Here is a 19507-nt window from a genome sequence, read left to right on the forward strand (position 1 = left end):
TAAAAATGTAAAAGATCAGCTGGGTGTGGTGGCTCACACCTGTAATCCCAGCACTTTGGGAGGCTGAGGTGGGTGGATCACGAGATCAGGAATTCAAGACCAGCGTGGCCAACATGGTGAAACCCTGTCTCTACTAAAAATACAAAAATTAGCTGAGCATGATGGTGCACACTGTAATCCCAGCTACTCAGCAGGCTGTGGCAGGAGAATCACTTGAACCCAGGAGGTAGAGGTTGCAGTGAGCCGAGATCGCGCCAGTGCACTCCATCCTGGGCAACAGAACAAGACTCCAACTCGAAAAAAAAATCAATAAAAATGTAAAAGATCATTCTTAGCTTGGAGGCTATAAAAAAGGATGCAGCATGTCAGATTTGGCCCATTAGCTGCAGTTTCCTGACCTCTATCTACCTCAATTGGTTCTTTACTTACATTACATGGAAAGTGCAAACTTGGATGGCTTCAATGTCTGGCTTCTTTTATTTATTTATTTATTTATTTATTTATTTATTTATTTATTTTTTGAGACGGGGTCTCGCTGTGGCCCGGGCTGGAGTGCAGTGGCACGATCTCTGCTCACTGCAAGCTCCACCTCCTGGGTTCACACCATTCTCCTGCCTCAGCCTCCCGAATAGCTGGAACTACAGGTGCACGCCACCACGCTTGGCTAATTTTTTATATTTTTAGTAGAGACGGGGTTTCACTGTGTTAGTTAGCCAGGATGGTCTCGATCTCCTGACCTCATGATCCGCCCATCTCGGCCTCCCAAAGTGCTGGGATTACAGGTGTGAGCCACCGTGCCCGGCTGGCTGGCTTCTTTTTACCCTTCACATCTGGCTTTAAATACTACCTTTTCACAGATTTCTTCTCTAATCACTCTTTCTAAAGTAAATATGCTGTTTTTCATTATTAGTCATTGCATCCTATTTCTTTCCCTTTAATTTTCTTATCACAATGTATAATTATATGTTTTTTTTTTTTTTTGGTTATTGCCTGTCTCCCTCAATAGATCATAAGTTCCATTTGATAAGGTACAATGTCTGTTGGTTTATTAGCCAGTGCCTAACACTACCATTTAATATGTATTCAATGAATATTTGTTAAATGTATTGATTGAATTTAAAGTGACTACTCAGCCTACTTCTGCCCCTTGGAGCTTGGATTGTTTCTTCAAAGGTATTGATCCTTTTGACTATTTTAATTATGAATTCACTAAAGACATCTGGAAGGCTTATTGTGTCAAGCAGTGCCAAATCCATGGCTTGATGAACCTAGATCCATCCCCTTCCCCTTTCCATATCACAGATGACAACTTGATGGTTGGCCTATGACTTGTAAAAGTTGTCATATTTGAATTCTGAAATTTCTCTAATTTTCTTGGGAAGCAGAAAGGAAAAATTAGTAGTTGGCCTCAAAGGGACAGTTGAATTTCACATATAATGAGCAAAGTAGTGTGAGGAAGAGAGGAGGGCCTTTTCTTTTGAGGTCATAACTAAAAGTTAGGTGAGCAAATGCCATAAGCATGAAAATAGCAAACCAAGCTTCTTGGTTTCTATCCAAAGGCTTTGTTGGGAAAAGTATCAAAGTGTGTTCATTTGTTATGTAATATATAAGGTAGAGAACCCAATTTGAAGGAGGTGGAATAACTTTCCAAAATACTTATGGCTAAATTCTCAGTTGATCTTGGAATAAGATTCAAGAATCCAAATGCACCCTTCTTTGTTATCTTGCTAGAAAACATGCTGGGCATGGTGGCTCATGCCTGTAATCCCAACACGTTGAGAGGCCGAGGTGGGCAGATCACGAGATCAGGAGTTGGAGACCAGCCTGATCAACATGGTGAAGCCCCGTCTCTACTAAAAATACAAAAATTAGCCAGACATAGTGGCACGCACCTATAATCCGTGCTACTCAGGAGGTAGGCAGGAGAATTGCTGGAACCCGGGAGGTGGAGTTTGCAGTGAGCCAAGATCACACCACTGCAATCCAGCCTGGGTGACAGAGCGAGACTCTGTCTCAAAAAAAAAAGAAAAGAAAAAAGAAAAGAAAGAAAAAAGGGAAGGGAAGGAAAGGGGGGAGGGGAGGGAAGGGAAGGGAAGGGAAGGTAAGGGAAGGGAAGGGAAGGGAAGGGAAAAGGGAAAACAATGTGCTTTTACCCACAGCTGATAAGCTTTTCTAATTGTCTACCTTTGGGTTAAACTTTATCATTGAGTGTTTTTATCCCATTATGAAAGAATTAAGGTTTGAAGGACTGAGGTAAGGGTGGATATTTACTCTTAATTGAGTAGCTTAACCAAGTCAAGCCACAGATTAGCTGAAGCCAAAAAGCACTGGCAGCATTTGAAATAACTGAGAACATATTATACTTAACACTTTATTATCTAAGAGAGGCACTTGAAGTTGAGACCTAGAAATTTGATTCTGGGTTCTTTGTTTCTAAGGGGCAGGGTGAACCCAGCTATAGCATTCACAGATGCTATAGAATTATATATATTCTATATATAATTATATATATTACATTCATATTAATATATGTTAATATATTCTATATTATTCATATAGAATTCACAGATAATCCAAGTGCTTTTTTAATACATTGATACCAAATCTCTCCTGCTCTCAAAAAAAAAAGCCCAAGGCAAAAATTTTTGATTAGCCTGTATCCGCAAATTCATAGTGCATGGCATGATGGGTACTCTACATCCCTCCTCCTATTGCACTCACTGTGCCCAGATGAACCTAAAGTCACCAGTAATAGTGCTAATGTAGTAATGGGCCCAAGCTTCAAAAGAAGGAAAATTAGTATTCAGTATTTAAATGTGGGAAAGAGGAAGAATATGGAAATTATCAATTTTATAATACCTATACATATTCTTACCTGCATTAATGTGAATAGACATCAATGATAAACAGAATAATGCCCCATAAAGATGTCTACACTGTAATCTCCAAAACTTATAACTATACTATATCACATGGCAAGAGGGAATTAAGGTTACTAATCAGCTGACCTTGAGATGGGAGATTCTCCTGGTTTGTATGGGTGGGCCCAATGTAATCACAGGGTCCTTATAAATGGAAAAGGCAGACAGGAGATTCAGTGTCAGACTGATACAATGAGGGAAAGACTACCAGCAGTTGATGGCTTTGAAGATAGAAGAAGGGGGCCATGAGCCAAGAAATGTGAGTAGCCTCTAGAAGCTGAAAAAGGCAAGAAAACGGATTCTTCCCTAGAATCTCCAGAAATGCAGCCCTGCCAACATGGTGATTTTAACTCAATGAGATGCATTTTAGACTTCTGACATCTAGAATTGTGTTATTTTCAGCCCTCAAGTTTGTGGTAATTTGTTACAGCAGCATTAAGAAAATGTACAATGACCATGTGCAGTGCCTCATGCTTGTAATCCCAGCACTTTGGGAGGCCAAGGTGGGTGGATCGCTTGAGTCCAAGAGTTCGAGACCAGCCTGGGAAACATGGTGAAACCTTGTCTCTACAAAAACACAAAAATTAGCCTGGTGTGGTTGTGTGGACCTGTAGTCCCAGCTACTCTGGAGGCTGAGGTGGGAGGATGGCTTAAACCCATAAGGTGGAGATTACAATGAGCCAAGATCATGCCACTGCACTCCAGCCTGGACAGTAGAGCCAGAACTTCTCTCAAAAAAATAAAAAAGAAAGAAACTATACAATGCTCCTGTGATTCTAGTGCTATGTACATATATCCTTTATAGGGAATTAAGGAGGTTATAGACACAACCAGAAGAGGAGGCATGGAATAGACTAATGTATAATGGATAGGAAAGTGTATCTTTTACAACTTCTCTGTAAAAACACCTTCACCTACTTTATGAGTTTGCCTCAGCTGCCATAACAAAATATCAGACCAAGTGGCTTAAATAACAATTTATTTTCTCACAGTTCTGGAGGCTAGAAGTCTAAGATGAAAGTGCCAGCAAGTTTGATTTCTGGTGAAGTCTCTCTTCCTTGCTTGCCAATGGCCGCTTTCTCACTGTGTCTTCAAATGTCCTTCCTCTGAGTATGTGAGGAGAGAGAGGTTTGATGCCTCTTCACCTTCTTATAAGGACACCAGTCCTACTGGATTAGGGCTCCACCCTTATGACCTCATTTAACCTTAATTACCTCCTTAAAGGTTCTATCTCCAAATACAGTCACATTTGGAGTCAGACCTACAACATATGAATTTTGAGAGGACACAATTCAGTCTATAACACCTAGATGGAAGGCAATTTCATATAAAGATGATATGCAGTCTATGACAGCAAAGTAGCTAGTGGAAATCACAACCCCTAATTCTATTTTTATGTCATTCCCTAAGTCCAGGTCCCATGTGGATATAGCATTGTTCAGGGCTATCTCTTTGCTGTTCTTTTTTTTTTTTTAGACTCACACAAGCAATGTGGAGAAGGAACATGAAAACATCTTTGAGATAGAGCTTAATACAGATGTCAATCTCTTTGTAAATAAGCAATTAAAAGTGGAACCACTGTCCACCATGTGAGAAGAGTGACTGGCTATGGCTGGATATTTTTAAATACACATAAAATGTGGTATAAATGGTAGAATGCCAGGGATAGAAGGAGTATCTTATAAGTTACCTAGTCAACGTTCTGGCTTCTGGGCAGAAAACTATCTAAACTCAGCCAGATAATCAGTTTCAACTAAATCAGGAAAACATGGAATCATCTTTATCTAGGTAGTGTTATAGTTACATTGCCTCATTTATCTACACATCAATAAATTCTTTCTCATTGCTAATATTTATCATTCTTATCATAGTATAAGCAAATGTTTTAATTCTATTATGGTAAAGATAAAGCTTCTGTAATTAAAACACTTTAATCTGGAAAGACAGCAGTAAACCCTTCAAGCAAAAGCCCAAGTAGGTTCAAAAATAATAGCCAGAGAGGTTAAAGGTAAACCAATAGAGTGATATGTTACAGCAACTAAGGGAGAGAGGCAGGAGTTTTTTAAAAGAGAGAAGAGGAATTATAACAACAGAAACAGGTTAGCCAGCTGCCAGTTTAGATGAGCATAATGAGTCCCTTAGATAGATCATTGGTGATTTTTATCAAAACACTATCGGTGGAGTTGTGGGAGTGGTAGGCTGACTATAGTGGATTGGGGAATTAAATAGTGATGAACCCAAAACAGAAAGTCTGAAGAAATTCCCTTTGAGCCAAAAAAAAAAAAGGCCGGGTGCAGTGGCTCACACCCATAATCCCAGCACTTTGGGAGGCCGAGGTGGGAGGATCACCTGAGGTCAGGAGTTCAAGACAAGCCTGGCCAACATGGTGACTCTACTAAACATTGTCTCTACTAAAAGATACAAAAATTAGCCGGAAGTGGTGGCAGGCAACTTAATCCCAGCTACTTGGGAGGCAGAGGCAGGAGAATTGTTTGAACCCGGGAGGTGGAGGTTGCACTGAGCTGAGATCGAGCCATTGCACTCAAACCTGGGGGACAAGAGGGAGACTTCTCTAAAAAAAAAAAATTCCCTTTGAGCATCTCTACTGTAGAGATGAAATAAGAGAGAAGTGGATTCTTTAGTATAGAGATGGAAAGGTATGGAGCTAGAACATGTGGGTTGTGAACAGTGGCTAACTAAACCAGGACCAGTAACCTAGATATCACATTGGGCTTAATTGCTGGGTTATTCATTCATTCAGGCAACATGTATTTGTTGAGAGCCTGAATGTGCCAGGTAATAGAAACACAAAGGTGGTTAAAATAGACCTTGGCCTCTGTCTTCAGGAAGCTTCCAGTCTGAAGAGGGATGAAGACATATATTAATCAAACAATCCCACAAATGCAGGTATAATCTGCATAAACTGACAAATATATCTACTTTGGAGTCAAGAAATTAAGAGAAATCACTGATGTGATCAGTGAACAAGTAAGATTTATTAGGAAGATGGAAGGATGACATTACTTCAAATATATTACAGGAAACCCCAACCATGGTAACAACATCAGGCCTATCTTTACATATGTTTAATAATGCTTAACTTCACTTTTGCTCCTATCCTCCCCAAAGCAATCTTCAAGTTCTTCTGTATCTTTGTTTTATTTTCTTTGTTCTTTTTTGTCTCATTTCCTATACTGTTTTTATTCCATACTTTGACAGTTCAGTGAACTCCTTTGATAGATCCCAAGTCCTCCTTTTTCAATATTTACACTTATAATCATTTTTGATCACTCCAAAACTGAGAACTTTGAGTGTAGATTTTCTAGGCTTCTTATTTTATTTTTAGACATTATATAGAAAAATTAGAGGGAAGGGAAAAGAAGGATGGCAACATGGTAACTGGGACAGTGTTCAAAAGGTCTAAGTCCTACTTCTCACTCCATACAAATTATCTGCAATTTTTTTATTTTTGAGACAGGCTCTTATCTCTCACCTGGGCTAGAGTGCAGTGGCACAATCATAGCTCACTATAACCTTGAACTCCAGGGCTCAAGGGATCCTTCCATTTCGGCCTCCCGAGTAGTTAGGACTACAGGTGTGTGCCACTACACACAGCTAGTTTTTAATTTTTTTTTATTTTCATAGACACAGGGTCTCACTATGTTGCTCAAACTGGTCTTGAACTCCTGGCCCCAAGCAATCCTCCTGCCTTGGCCTCCCAAAGTTCTAGAATTGTTACAGGAAAGAGGTCCCAATCCAGGCCCAAAGAGATTTTATTTATGTACTAGTGTGGAGCCTAGCCTAGGACACATCAAGCAGAAGTGCAGATAAGGTCTGACTCTTTCCAGTACAGCTAGGGTGCCTGGCTCTCCACATGTCCCCAGACCTTATCTAGAATCTAATGTCTCCAAGGTAGGTACATTGAATAATTTTCAAAAGTCAAGGAAGCAGTTTATGACCTTAAAGTAGTTAGCAAACTTAATATCTGACCTGACTAATTTAGACCAAATGTTTACATTTTTGAAGATATTTTTATTTTATCAGTAATCTTTAAAACTATTTTCTATTTTCCAAAGATTACTTAAGTCAAATGAACTAAAAGGCATTATACATTTTAGTTTTCTGATGAAATATCTGATTTAAGCACTTATTATTTTTGAACCAATTAAAGCTTTTTTATATCACACACACAACACATATAAATACACAGACAGGCTGGGTGCAGTGGCTCACACTTGTAATCCCAGCACTTTGGGTGGCCAAGGCAGGCGGATCACGTGAGGTCAGGAGTTTGAGAGCAGCCTGGTCAATGTGGTAAAACCCCATCTCCACTAAAAATACAAAAATTAGCTGGGCATGGTGGAGGATGCCTGTAATCCCAGCTACTCAGGAGGCTGAGGCAGGAGGATAGCTTGAACCCAGGAGGTAGAGGTTGCAGTGAGCCAAGATTGTGCCACTGCACTCCAGGCTGGGTGACAGAGGGAGACCCTGTCTCAAAAAATTAATAAATAAATACACAGAAGAAGATAAAGGACTTATCCCCTAAGGCAGGAATCAAACCCTGAACACAGGCCACCATTGTGAAAAGAAAAAGCACAGCCACATGGTTACAAGGTCAAGCTCCCAAGGACATACAAAACAAGAAGGAAACCTCATCCAGTTTTTTCAGGGACCTGCAGCAAAGTTTGTACCTGATAAATTTACTGGGCCATCTTGAACAGCAGGTTTACAGGTGTCCTAAGCTCATGTTCTATCCTAAGATACCCCTCTTTATGACAGAACAATACAGAAAGACACACAACAGATTTGCTACAACTTAAGACTAGCCTCATAAATCCATTTTTTCACTAATCAAAACTTTACAGAGGAAATGAACAGTGATTTTTGCCATCCATTCAACCAGTTTTATAGAGAGAGAGAGAGGAAAGCATTGCCTGAGGCAGGGTGGGGAAGGCCCGGCACTCCGAGTGCCAGAGAAAGCCCCACCCATTGCAGCAACACTGAAAAGTTCATGCAGCTGCTTGTCAGTCATGAACGGATTTTTTCCAGCAGTCCCATCAGCTCTCATTTCCCTTTTTAGGAGGGAAAAGCTCCCCATGTTCTACAATCCTCTACATGCCTAATTCTGTCAACCATAGCCATCAGCAAAGAGTGCAAGGCAGATCAATCCAAAGAGAATAGCGGTTAACATCCTATAATGCCAAACCTGTTCTTAGCCGAAAGGGACTTTAAGGAGAGGGACTTTACTGAGAGGGACCTCTAACCCCCTAAATCTTAAAAGGGACTCTAATCCTCCTAAGTTGGGCCTCTAACCCAGTGTCAGTCAAGCATCCTTGCCTTTTATTGAGAGGAAGCTTTAACCCTCTCTTACGAGAGACTCTAACTCCCCTAAGTTGAGCTATAACCAATCCCATCCTTTGCCTGAGTACCCCACCACTTACCCAAAGTTGTCCAATTAGTAATGCTGCAGTCTATTTCCTTTGTGCTGGGGGTCTCCTCAGTATCATCCCTTCGAGTTTCACCAGAAAGATGTTATCAGGCCCCACCACTTACCCAAAGTTAGCCTTTGGATTGGGGGTTTCTGCATTATAGTCACTTCAGTGGTTGCCAAAAAGATGTTATAGGACCCCCAACACTTACCCAAAATTAACCTTTGGGTCAGGTATTTCTGCACTATAGTCCCTTCTGTGATAATCAGAAAGATGTTATAGGAAAAGGATCCTGATCCAGGCCCCCAGGAGAGGGTTCTTGGATCTTGTGCAAGAAAGAATTCAGGGCGAGTCCGCAGTGCAAAGCAAAACCAAGTTTATTAGGAAAGTAAAGGAGTAACAGAATGGCTACTCCATAGACAGAGTAACCCCAAGGGCTGCTGGTTGCCCATTTTTGTGTTTTTTTCTTGATGATATACTAAACAAGGGGTGGATTGTTCATGCCTTCCCATTTTAGACCATATAGGGTAACTTCCTGACATTGCCATGGCATTTGTAAACTGTCATGGTGCTGATGGGAATGTAGCAGTGAGGATGGCCACACTAATGTGTTTTAAGCCTTTTCCTCAGCCAAACTACAAAAAAGCAAAAATTACTTTGTTTCAATATTACCCCTACTGGCTAACACACTAGCAGGTCATCAGAATATTTGCCATTCCTACAAAATTCCAAGATTCTGTGATGATCCTTTGAGTATAAGAATCACAGAGATACACACAATTGTTACATGCTCTATTTAAGTTTTCTATGTTATATTTTCTCTTTATACCCCCCACCCCATTTCCTGACTCTTTCTTTTTAAAGGGTCTTTGGGATCATGAAAGCAAAATGCAGCATCCTCAGTGTCACACACGTCCATGTGAAGAGACCACCAAACAGGCTTTGTGTGAGCAATAAAGCTTTTTAATAACCTGGGTGCGGGCAGGCTGAGTCTGAAAAGAGAGTCAGCAAAGGGAGATAGGGGTGGGGCAGTTTTATAGGATTTGGGTAGGTAGTGGAAAATTACTGTCAAAGGGGGTTGTTCTCTGGCGGGCAGGGGTGGAGGACACAAGGTGCTCAGTGGGGGAGCTTCTGAGCCAGGAGAATGAATTTCACAAATGTCATCAGCTAAGGCAGGAACCAGCCATTTTCACTTATTTTGTGATTCTTCAGTTGCTTCAGGCCATCTGGATGTATACATGCAGGCTTGGGCTCAGAGGCCTGACATTCCTGTCTTTTTATATTAATAAGAAAAATAAAACAAAATAGTGTTGAAGTGTTGGGGCGGTGAAAAATTTTTTGGGGGGTGGTATGGAGAGTTACTGGGTGATGTTTCTTAGGGTTGCTTTGAGTGGGATTAGGGGTGGCGTGGGAACCTAGAGTGGGAGAGATAAAGCTGAAGGAAGATTTTGTGGTAAGGGGTGATATTGTGGATTTGTTAGAAGGAATATTTGTCACATAGAATGATTGGTGATGGCCTGGATACAGTTTTGTATGAATTGAGAAACTAAACAGAAGACACAAGGTCCCAATAACAGAAGGAGAAAAACAGGTATTAAAGGACTAAGAATTGGGAGGACTCAGGACATCCAATCAGAGTGCCTAAGGGGGTTCAGCGTGATTATTTTCTTGGTTGATGAGTTTTTGGGCTCTATCCTTGAGTTTTTTTATGTTGTCATATACCAAGCCAGATTGATTTAGGTAAAAACAACACTTTTCATTTAAAAATACACACAGTCCCCTTTTTTTGAGCAGTAAGTCAAGGCCTCAGTGATTTTGGAGGAAAGAGAAATGCAAAGCCAGCAATCATTTTTTAAAGAAGGATTAGAAACAGCTAGGAGAGAGTGAATGAGATTGATAGTGTGGTGGAGATAGCTGGGGAGAGGTAGAGGGTCGCATAAGAACAGGAATGAGAATAAGAGTGAATATAAAGGTAAAGAATAGGACTTTATTAGGGTGAAAGTATTGGAGTGTACCTTGTCACTGAAGATCTTCTATCCACTTCAAGAGAGACTTAAGGAAGGTGGTTTGAGGTAAAACCAGGAGATATGAGTTATGATGGTTTGGAGGAAAAGTGTAAACTGGCAGTGTAAACAAGGGCAGGGCATTTACGAGTAGTTGAGAATGGTGAATAGGAGTATGACTAGACAGAAGATAGTAGGGATGACAAGTTTTGGGGTTGCAGTCCAAGTAGTGGGGGTGACTGCATAAAGCCTTGTTGCAATAAGTAGGGTAATAAACTTAATAGAATGAAAGGATGTTTTAGGCTCATAAGGGTTACTACTGTTCTTCAGAAATGTGAGTGAGTTTAAGGGAAGTAGGGTTGAGTACTTGCAACTTCTAGGAGGAAGAGGAGAGATTAGGCTGGCTGTCCAATGGACACAGCTTTATTCTGGAATGGTGAGCCTAATAGGGAGGGTCTTACAGGCGGATGGCAGTTGGGGTATTATAGATGACTAAGTAGGGTCCGGTCTATCAAGGTTATAGAGTTTGAGGGGTCAGATTCTTAACAAGAACTGATCGTCCATCTAGGGTGTCTTTATATGGCTGGGAATATGGAGTAGGCAAGAAAAGATTAGCAGCTTGGCAAATTTCCTGTCTTGCCTGCTGGAGGACCAGCAGATAGATTCCTAGAGGACTGGTGTCTGAGACGAGGTTGGGGCCAAGCAAGAAAGTGTGTCTATATAAAAGTTTAAATGGACTGTACCCTCTAGCATCTCAAGGACAGGCTCTAATTCTGAGAAAGGCAAGAGGTAAAAGTACTGTCCAATCTTTTTTAAGTTGGAGGCTGAGCTTGGTGAGATGTGTCTTTAAAAGACCATTAGTCCATTCTACCTCTCCTGAAGATTGAGAATGGTAAGGGGTATGAAGGTTCCACTGAATACCAAGAGCCTGAGAAACTGCTTGGGTGATTTGACTAATAAAGGCCGGTCCATTATCAGACTGTATAGAGGTGGGAAGGCCAAGCCTAGGAATTATGTCTGAAAGAAGGGAAGAAATGACTATGGTGGCCTTCTCAGACCCTGTGGGAAAGTCCTCTACCCATCCAATGAAAGTGTCTACCCAGACCAAGAGGTATTTTAGTTTCCTGACTCGGGGCATGTGAGTAAAGTCAATTTGCCAGTCCTGGGCAGGGCAAATTCTCGAGCTTGATGTGTAGGGAAGGGAGGGGGCCTGAGGAATTCCTGAGTAGTAGTAGTATAGCAGATGGGACAGAGAAGTGATTTTTTTAGGATAGATTTTTACAAAGGAAAGGAAATGAGAGGTTTTAAGAGGCAGGATAGCAGCTTGCAACTTACATGGAAGGGGTTACAAAATGACAACAGAATAGAATAGGCCTGTGAGGCTGGAAGGAGATATTTTCCTTGTTCCAAGAACCATTTGCCTTGTGTGGAAAGAGATTGATAGGTGGAAGTTTCAGTGGGAGAGTAGGTGGGAGTGACAGATGAGAAGGAGAAAAACTGGCCATGAGGGACAGAAGTTGGGACACTAGCTGCTTCTTTAGCTACCTTATCAGCATAAGCACTGTCCTGAGTGATGGGATCTGATGCCTTTTGATGGCCCTTGGAGTGAATGACTCCAGCTTCCTTTGGAAGTAAAGTGGCCTTGAGAAGAGTTTTTATTAAAGAGGCATTAATGATGGAGGACACTTGCATAGCGAGGAAACCTCTTTTAGCCTACATAACAGCATGGTGGTGCAGGATATGGAAGGCATATTTAGAGTCAGTATAAATATTGATGTGTAGTCCCTTTGCAAGAGTGAGAGCCTGAGTTAAGGCAATGAGTTTGGCTTGCTGACAGGTAGTGGAGGTGGACAGAGTGGTAACATCAAGGATAGATGTGGAAGATACTATAGCATAGCCTGCCTTTGCTAATGAGTGACAATTAGGCCTGATGGAACTGCCATCAATAAACCAAGTGTGATCAGGGTGAGGAACAGGAAAGAATGAAATATGGGTAAATGGAGTGAATGTCAGGTAGATCAGAAAGATACAGTCATGGGGGTCAGGTGTGGTATCAGGAATAATGTGGGAGCCAGCCTAAAACAGTAAGATCAAGTTGCTTGGACAGAAAGGCTACAGGTCATGGTCCTGGCTCTTGTGTAAGAATTCTGACCGCACAGCCCTGCACTTCAGCTGTGTGTAATGAAAAAGGGTTCAGATGAGTTAGGGAGAGCTAGTGTGGGAGCAGCTTCCAGGGCTGTTTTAAGAAATGGAAAAAGGAGTGGGGAAAGGATTTAGGATCTATGGGGTCAGCTAGGTTTTCTTTTGTGAGTTTATATAATGGTTTAGTCAGGACAGTAAAGCTAGGTATTTAAAGGCAAAAGTACTGAACCATGCTCAGGAAAGAAAGGAGTTGTTGCTTTGTCAAGGGGGTTGGGGTTTGGGAGATTAGCCAGACACGATCAGCAGGGAGAGCATGTGTGTTTTTATGAAGAATTATGTCAAGATATATAACGGATGAGGAAGAAATTTGGGCTTTGGAGGCAGATGTGCAATGTCCTTTTGAGAATAGATTGTTGGAGCAGCAGGAGGGTGTCCTGTTGGGAAGATTTGTAGGAGGGGCTATAAAGTAGAAGGTCATCAAAATATTTAATAAGGTGAGATGTAGATGGATGGAAAGAGAGTAAATCATGAGAAAGGGCCTGACTGAAGTAATAGGAGCTGTCCCTGAAGCCTTGCAGCAGTACAGCCCAGGTAAGTTGCTGAGACTGATGGGTGTCAGGGTCAGTCCAGGTAAAAGTAAAGAGGGCCTTGGAGGAAGGGTGCAAAGGAATAGTAAAGAAAGCATATTTGAGATCCAGAACATAATAATGGGTTGTGGAGGGGTTGTGAAGGGAGGTATTAAGAATAAGAGAGTATATGGGTTTGGCACCATGGGGTGGATAGGCAAACAATTTGGTTGATAAGGTGCAGATCCTGAACTAACCTGTAAGACTTGTCCGGTTTTTGGACAGGTAAAATGGGAGAATTGTAAGGAGAGTTTATAGGCTTCAGAAGCTCATGCTGCAGCAGGCGAGTGATAACAGGCTTTAACCTTTTTAAAGCATGTTGTGGGATGGGATATTGGCATTGAGCGGGGTAAGGGTGATTGTGTTTTAATGGGATGCTAAGGGGTGCATGATCGGTCCCCAAGGAGGGAGTAAAGGTGTCCTATACTTGTGGATTAAGGTGGGGAGATACAAGGGGAGGATGCGAAGGAGGCTTTGAACTGGGGAAAAGGCGGCAATGAGGTGTGGCTGTAGTCCAGGAATAGCCAGGGAAGTAGATAATTTGGTTAAAATGTCTTGGCCTAATAAGAGAACTGGGCAGGTGGGAATAACTGAAAAAGAGTGCATAAAAGAATGTTGTCCAAGTTGGCACCAGAGTGGGAGAGTTTTAAGGGGTTTTGAAGCTTGGCCGTCAATACCCACAACCGTTATGGGGGCAAGGGAAACAGGCCCTTGAAAGGAAGGTAATGTGGAGTGGGTAGCCTCCATATTGATTAAGAAGGGGATGGACTTACCTTCCACTGTAAGAGTTACCTAAAGTGTCTGTGATGGTCCAGGAGGCTTCTGAGGTGATCAGGCAGCGTCAGTCTCCAGCTGCTAAGCCAAGCAGATCTGGGAAAGTGTCAGTCAGAGAGCCTTGGACCAGAGCTTTAGGGGCTGTAGGAGTAGCTGCCAGGTGAGTTGGACAATCCTATTTCCAGTGGGGTCCTGCATAGATGGGACATGGCTTACGAGGAATCCCAGGCTGCAGCATTCCTTGGCCCAGTGGCCAGATTTCCAGCGTGTGAAGCAAGATCCTGGGGGAGGAGGTCTGGAAGGAATGCCTGACTGCTGTGGCTTAGGTGCTATGAAGTTCTTGTGTGCTGGAGATGTGGCTGGGGTTTCTCTCACAGTGGAGGCAAGTAATTGCAACTCTTCTCTATTATTGTACACCTTGCAGGTGAGGTTGATTAATTCCTGTTGTGGGGTTTGAGGGCTGGAGTCTAATTTTTGGAGCTTTTTCTAATGTCAGGAGCTGACTGGGTGATAAAATGCATATTGAGAATGAGACGGCCTTCTGACCCTTCTGGGTCTAGCTAGGGTGGTAAAGTGTCTAAGGGTTGTTGCCAAATGGGCCATGAACTGGGCTGGGTTTTTATATATGATGAAAAAGAGCCTAAACACTAACTGATTTGGGAGAGGTCAGCTAAAGAAAAAGGAGCATTAACCTTGACTATGCCTTCAGCTTCAGCCACCTCTGTAAGAGGAAACTGTTGGGTAGATGGGGGAGGGCTAGCCACAGAACGCAACTGTAAGCTGGACCAGGTGTGAGGAGGGGAGGTGATAGAAGGATTATAGGGTGGGAGAGCAGAGGCTGAGGAAAAATTGGGACCTGGCTCAGCCTGGTGAGGAGCAGCCTGGGGAGGAGGGGAGAGGTCAGATGGGTCTGTAGAAAAGGAGGATTCAAAGGACTCAGAGCTTGGGGTGGAGACTGAAGGAAGAGACAGGAGAGAAAGAAGAAAGATTTGGGATGAGTCACATTGGGAGCAGAGATTAGGAAAAGACTTGTTGCAGGAAGTCAGGGACCCCAAATGGAGGGACCGGCTGAAGCCATGGCAGAAGAATGTGGATTGTGAAGATTTTATGGACATTTATTAGTTCCCCAAATTAATACTTTTGTAATTTCTTATGCCTGTCTTTATTGCAATCTCTAAACATAAATTGTAAAGATTTCATGGACACTTATCACTTCCCCAATCAATACCCTTGTGATTTCCTATGCCTGTCTTTAATTTAATCTCAATCTTGTCAGTTGAGGAGGATGTATATTGTCTCAGGACCCTGTAATAATTGCATTAACTACACAAATTGTACAGCATGTGTGTTTGAGCAATATGAAATGTGGGCACCCTGAAAAATGAACAGGATAACAGCAATTGTTCAGGGAATAAGACAGATAACCTTAAACTCTGACTGCCGGTGAGCTGGGCAGAACAGAGCCATACTTCTCTTCTTTCAAAAGCAAATGGGAGAAATATCGCTGAATTCTTTTTCTCAGCATGGGATATCCCTGAGAAAGAGAATGCGCACCTAGGGGTAGGTCTCTGAACTGGCCCCCCTGGGGCGTACCTGTCTCTTATGGTTGAGACTGCAGGGGTGAAATAAACTCCAGTCTCCCATAGCGCTCCCAGGCTTATTAGAAAAAGGAAATTCCCACCTAATAAATTTTGGTCAGACCGGTTGATCTCAAAACCCTGTCTCCTGATAAGATATTATCAATGACAGTGGTGCCCTAAACTTCGTTAGCAATTTTAATTTCACCTTGGTCCTGTGGTCCTGTGATCTCACCCTGCCTCCACTTGCCTTGTGATATTCTATTACCCTGTTAAGTACTTGATGTCTGTCACCCACACCTATTCGCACACTCCCTCCCCTTCTGAAAATCCCTAATAAAAACTTGCTGGTTTTTGTGGCTTGTGGGGCATCACAGATCCTACCGATGTGTGATGTCTCCCCCAGATGCCCAGCTTTAAAATTTATCTCTTTTGTACTCTGTCCTTTTATTTCTCAAGCCAGTCAATGCTTAGGGAAATAGAAAAGAACCTACGTGATTATCAGGGCAGGTCCCCCGATAGGGACTGATGTGCAAAAGAATTCCTGGATATCAGGCACCTCAGACCATTTGCCCATTTTACGACAAGAATTATCTAGATCTTGTAGGATGGAGAAATCGAAAGTGCTGTTTTCTGGCTATTTGGAACCATTGTCAAGTTTGTATTGGGGTCAAGTGGTATTGCAGAAGAAAATAAGATGTTTAGGTTTTAGGTCAGGTGTGAGTTGAAGAGGTTTTAAGTTATTGAGAACACAGTCTAAGGGTGAAGATGGAGGAATGGAGGGTGGAAGTTTGCCTATAGTGAAGGAGGCAAGCCCTGAGAAAAGAGAGGGTAGAGACACGGAGAGAAGGGGTGGGGGGTACTTGCCTCCCGGGGAGGTGGTGCTTGCCACCAAGGTGAAGGATCAAGGCAGGCATCCCCATGGTGATCAGACACCTCTGAAATGTGGGTGAATAATCAGGCAGGCATCCCCGCAGTGATTAAACACTGAGGGAAGACTGTCTTCCCGAGACCATGACCATCGTCAGAGTTTTGGGTTCACACATAAAACATGTCTCCTCTGTCTCTACCAGAAAAGGAAAGGCACTGAAATTAAGGGAAGGGAGAGATTGAAGGGTAGCACAGAAATTGAAAGGAGAAAGAGGTTGAGGGATAGTGAAAGAAGTTGGAGAAGAGAGCAAAAAGAGGCTGCTTACCAGATTTAAAATTGGTGAGATGTTCCTTGGGCTGGTTGGTCTGAGGACCAGAGGTCATAGGTGGATCTTTCTCACGGAGCAAAGAACAGGAGGACAGGGGATTGATCTCCCAAGGGAAGTCCCCTGATCTGAGTTATGGCACCAAATGTCACGTGCATCCGTGGGAAGAGACCACCAAACAGGCTTTGTGTGAGCAATAAAGCTTTTTAATCACCTGGGTGCAGGCGGGCTGAGTCTGAAAAGAAAGTCAGCAAAGGGAGATAGGGATGGGGCAGTTTTATAGGATTTGGGTAGGTAGTGGAAAATTACAATCAAAGGGAGTTGTTCTCTGGCAGGCAGGGGTAGTGGTCACAAGGTGCTCAGTGGGGGAGCTTCTGAGCCAGGAGAAGGAATTTCACAAGGTAATGTCATCAGTTAAGGCAGGAATCGGCCATTTTCACTTCTTTTGTGATTCTTCAGTTGCTTCAGGCCATCTGGATGTATATGTGCAGGCTTGGGCTCAGAGGCCTGACACTCAGCAGCTACTACCACCATTGGCACCACTGGCACCACTGCCACCACCCCACTGCACCCCAGTTGCTTCACTCTCCATCACAGAAGCCTTTTCAGCAACAGCCAACATTTGTACCCTCACCAAGCCCTCTGATTTTCCCAATCACAAGGCCTTCACTACAATATTTTCTTCATTCACAAGTGTCACCTATTCTCCATCCCCAAGGTAAGTCAATTCTAATTTTCTTGCAAGGGTTGACAGAGGTAAAACCTGTCCAGATACCCCAAAGGTGTTTCATCTTGGCAATTCTTGACTCTTTCAAGGAAATAAGAATAGTCAAATATAACTAAGTAAAATAAATAAGAATATATAAGGTCTGTAAACCAAAAATGAAATTCTAAGCCCCCCAACCAACTGAATGGACCCCTCCTCTCAGCCAAGGGCATTCTAAAGTTAACCTGAAAGACTAATTCAGGCCATGATGGAAGTGGGTGGTCAGGCATGCCTCATTATATCCTCCTCCCTTTGGAATTTAGACACAAATGACCAACATTAACATTAAAACAGAGACCTTAAGATTGACAAAGTAGACTCTTTGTAGCAATAAGATATGAACACAACAGATAGCAGGCCCCAAAATATATTTATTCAACATATTTTTAAATGGCCCTGCAAAGCTGTCTCTTGTGGGGAAACCTACATTCTGTAGAGAATGCCCTTCCCTTTCCAGATCTTTTCGCTTATCCAGGAGAGAATTAACTAAGAGTCTGGTACCTTTTTAAGTCTGATAAGAAACATTTACAATCTATTCTCTCTGAAGCCTCCTACCTGGAGGCTTCATCTGCATAAGAGCCTTAGTCTCAGAAGCCCCTTATGTTAATGCAGATACTCCCTTCTATTGATTTCAAGACTTTAATCAGAAAACCTCTGAGTCTTCCTATGACCTGGAAGCCCCCACTTAGAGTTGTCCCACATTTTCAGACCCAACCAATGTACATCTTACATGCATTGATTGATGTCTTATGTTTCCCTAAAATGTATAAAACCAAGCTGTAGCCTGACTACTTTGGGTACATGTTCTCAGGTCTCTTGGAGCTGTGTCATGAGCTATTGGTCACTCATATTTACTTGGCTCAGAATAAATCTCTTCAAATATTTTATAGAGTTTGACTCTCTGTTGACAAGTCCTAGTTTTAAAACAGTTTTTATTTCATTTATTTATTTTGAGATGGGGTCTTCCCTCTGTCACCCATGTTGGAGTGCAGTGGCACAATCTCAGCTCACTGTAACCTCTGCCTCCCAGGCTCAGGTCATCCTGCCACCTCAGTCTCCCAAGTAGTTAGAACCACATACGTGTGCCACCATGTCCAGCTAATTTTTTGTATTTTTGATAGAGATGGGGTTTCTCCATTTTGCCCAGGCTGGTCTCAAACTCTCTAAGCTCAGGCAATCCACCTGCCTCAGCCTCCCAAAATGCTGGGACTACAGGCATGACCCACAGCGCCCAACCAAAATGACTTGTTTTTAGACAAGAGGTTAGAAATTTTTTTTCCTCAAAGGGCCAGACAATAAGTAGATTAGGCCAGGGTTTCTCAACCTCAACAGTATTCACATTTTGGGCCAGATAATTCTTTGTTGTGGAGTGCTTTCCTTTTCACTGTAGGGTATTTAACTGCATCCCTGACTTCTACTCCCTAGGTGCCAATAACATCTTATTCTCAGTTGTGACAATAAAAACATTTTCCAGACATTTCTAGATGTCCCATAGGAGGTAAAATTGCCCTGAGGTGAGAATAACTGGTATAGACTTTGCATTCCATATGCTATCTGTCACAACTACTCAGCAGTGCCATTATAGCACAAAAGCAGCCATAGACAATATGAAAATGAATGGACATGGTACTTTCCCAATAAGTACTATGGAAACTGAAATTTAAATTTCATATAATTTTCACATGTAATAAAATATTCCTTTAAAAATTTAAGCATTTAGAGATGGAAAACCCATTGTTAGCTTGTGGGACAAACAAAAACAGGTGGTAAGCCATAGCTTTCCAACTCCTATTTGTTTTATTTTTGAAAGTTTAATAATATATGTAATTTAAACTACTGTATCCAAATAATATTATTTTAACATGTGGTAATTATAAAAATCAATTCATAAATTCAGTATGTATTTTACATTTATAATACATCTCAATTTGTACTAGCCACATTTTAAGTACTCAATAGTCATATATGGCTAGTAGCTACCATATTGGGCCATGATGCCCTAGAGTATTTGCTTTTAATTATTAGGCATACTTCCTCTCAAGAGGCCCTAGTCATTGGGAACATGAGGTCACT

The 19507-nt window shown here is 42.1% G+C and overlaps 1 non-coding gene across 1 annotated transcript in view; it reads left to right on the plus strand.

Annotated features, from left to right (window-relative positions):
* TSIX (TSIX transcript, XIST antisense RNA) overlaps positions 1-19507 on the plus strand; it is a 37027-nt gene continuing 17520 nt past the window's right edge. Inside the window, exon 1 of the transcript NR_003255.2 lies at positions 1-19507. This exon is cut by the window's right edge and continues 17520 nt beyond it. This is a non-coding gene — a non-coding RNA (TSIX transcript, XIST antisense RNA).

The sequence above is a fragment of the Homo sapiens genome, chromosome X (assembly GCF_000001405.40).
Source record: "Homo sapiens chromosome X, GRCh38.p14 Primary Assembly".
In the NCBI taxonomy this organism is placed as follows: Eukaryota; Metazoa; Chordata; class Mammalia; order Primates; family Hominidae; genus Homo; species Homo sapiens.